At 55.3% G+C, this 2,847-nt stretch overlaps 1 annotated feature.

The window, feature by feature from the left end:
* Positions 284-785: an enhancer, noted in NCBI's record as "H3K4me1 hESC enhancer chr7:1232959-1233460 (GRCh37/hg19 assembly coordinates)". NCBI's record gives its function as "activates a minimal SCP1, AML or CMV promoter by ChIP-STARR-seq in naive H9 embryonic stem cells {active_cell/tissue: H9 hESC(naive)}" and the evidence as "EXISTENCE:reporter gene assay evidence [ECO:0000049][PMID:30033119]".

Raw genomic sequence — 2,847 nt, forward strand, 5'->3', positions numbered from 1 at the left:
GGCCAAGGCATGAGGATCACTTGAGCTCAGGAGCTTGAGACCAGCCTGGCCAACATGGTGAAACCCCATCTCAACTAAAAAAAATACAAAATTAGCTGGGCATGATGGTGGGCGCCTGTAATCCCAGCTACATGGGAGGCTGAGGTAGGAGAATTGCTTGAACCCGGGAGGCGGAGGTTGCAGTGAGCCAAGATCGCACCACTGTATAATTTAAAAAAAAAAAATTGAAAAAGTAGCCAGGCGTAGTGGCAGGTGCCTGTAATCCCAGCTACTCAGGAGGCTGAGGCAGGAGAATCATTTGAACCTGGGAGGCGGAGGTTGCAGTGACCTGAGATTGCGCCACTGCACTCCAGCCTGGGCGATGAAGCAGAAAACAAAAAACAAAAAACAAAAAAACCGAGGCCACCGTAGCTCCAGTGCCTGGAGCAGGGCCTGCGTTGAGGCCGTGGTGGATGTCGGAGGGTGGGTGAATGAATGAACAGTGAGTTCACTCCACATTGGGTGCCTCAGTCCAGCCGTCCCCGTACACCCGAGGGGCCCCACGCAGCCACACCTGGCTTTTCTCAGGCAGTGGCTCTTCCCACCTGGGTCTCCGTCCTAGGGGTCTGTCGCCCTGATGTCAGGGAGCGGGCGCAGCTCTCAGACGCGCTGGTGTTGTCTCCTAACTCTGCCGCTCCCCAGCTGTGTGGGCCGGTCTGCCCCAGTTTCCTGCTCTGAAGAAGAGAGATTGAGATACAGGTGGCAGCCTCGGAGGGTGATTGTGAAGGGTCCAGGCGGTTCCCGCGTGCAGCCTCGGGACAGGGCTGTGCTGGAGCCATCGAGCTGGAGAGAGAGTGAGCTTCACCCCAGGGCAGCTGTCTCCCCAGACGAGCCCCGCTCTGGGACATTGCATGGGAATCTCAGCTGCTCCGGGATGTTCATTCACCCTACCTCTCTCAGGACACCCTGGCTTTGCAGAGCCCGTGCGTGAGTGTCTCTGAGCCGGGTGCCAGGGGGTGGCACTGTTTGCTCACCGTTGGCCTCTGCTGGCAGCGTGGTGCCCGGCGCGGCGTGAAAGCCCTCGGCCTCCCAGGCGCTTTCGGCCTCACAGGCATCCCTCTGGCTCGAAGTGCTCCTGCTCCCACAAGGCTCAGGAAACCTGTGCTGCTCAGAGCTTTGCGTTTAAAAATCACGTTGTTCTGGTTTGGACCACGCAACTTAGACATTTCTTTCAGGAACTGGATTGGCTGTGGAGGGGCCATTTAGAAATCTTTTATCTAGTCAGTTTCCTTCATCTGTATTTTGGAAATGCAGAGAAGGTGATTGAACCTAGCGGAATCTTGGGAGCATGTCCTTGAACACGGCAGGTGTCCCCGGGACAAACAGGTGCAGCTTTCTGCAGAGGACAGCGATGCCCCGGACAGCCTGGGCTCCCAAGTTCTCCCATGTGCCCCAAGGTGCCGTGCTAGGGTACAGGGGGTTGTGGAGTTTACTCATTCCTGGAGGCAGGTATTCAGCCAAGATCAGCGGTCTTGATGTTGCATAAATGTTGGGGAAGAAATCTTTCTGCTTGGGGAGCTGTTGATTTCAGTATTGGCTCTTAGCTGATAAAAACAGTAGTTCCAGCCAGGCCCGGTGGCCCACGCCTGTAATCCCAGCACTTTGGGAGGCCGAGGCAGGCGGATCACGAGGTCAGGAGATCGAGATCATCCTGGCTGACACGGTGAAACCCCGTCTCTACTAAAAATACAAAAAAATTAGCTGGGCGTGGTGGTGGGCGCTGGTAGTTCCAGCTACTTGGGAGGCTGAGGCAGGAGAATGGCATGAACCCAGGAGGCAGAGCTTGCAGTGAGCTGAGATCGTGCCACTGCACTCCAGCCTGGGCGATAGAGCGAGACTCTGTCTCAAAAACAAAATAAAACAAAACAAAAAAACCCAGTAGTTCCTGCCAGCCAGGTGCAGTGGCTCACACTTGTAATCCCAGCACTTTGGGAGGCCAAAGTGGGCAGATCACCTGAGGTCAGGAGTTTGAGACCAGCCTGACCAACATGGCGAAACCCTGTCTCTACGAAAAGTACAAAAATTAGCTGGGCATGGTTGCAGAAGCCTGTAATCCCAGCTACTGCGGCACGAGAATCGCTTGAACCCAGGAGGTGGAGGTTGCAGTGAGCCGAGATGGTGCCGTTGCACTCCAGCCTGGGTGACAGACTAAGACTCGGTCTCAAAACAAAAACAAACAAACAAAAAACCAGTTCCTACCGTTTATGAAACGCCGCTCGCAGCCTGCCCCTGTGCCCTTCACGCCGTACTTTGTCCCGTCTTCTCAGTGACCCTGCAGGTCAGTGTGGGTGATGGTCACAGACATGAAGCTCAAAGCCGCGAGGGACCTTGCCCAAGGTGTCCAGCCCAGGAGGAGCGGAGCCAGAATTCCACCTTGGGCCGTCTGACCCCAAAGACCGCAGTTTCCAGCGCACAGACTCTCCAAATCATCCTCTCAACTGGAGGAACGTCACCTTCCCTGCAGCCCACGGCACCTTCCTTGATTTTATTACCAGATCCATGGTCCAGCCTGGTGTCTGGTTACTATTTTCCACCTGCTGTAAAGTGATTTGGGGCCAGGCACAGTGGCTCACGTCTGTAATCCTAGCACTTTGGGAGGCTGAGTCAGGAGGATTGCTTGAGCCCAGGAGTTCGAGGCCAGCCTGGGCAACGTAGTGAGACCTCATCCCCACAAAAAAATTAAAAAATTAGCTGGGCATGGTGGTGAACCCCTGTGGTCCCAGCTCCTCAGGAGGCTGAGGCGAGAGGATCACTTGAGCCCAGGAGGTTGAGGCTGTAGTGATCTGTGATTGTGCCATTACACTCCAG

The sequence above is a fragment of the Homo sapiens genome, chromosome 7 (assembly GCF_000001405.40).
Source record: "Homo sapiens chromosome 7, GRCh38.p14 Primary Assembly".
NCBI lineage: Eukaryota > Metazoa > Chordata > Mammalia > Primates > Hominidae > Homo > Homo sapiens.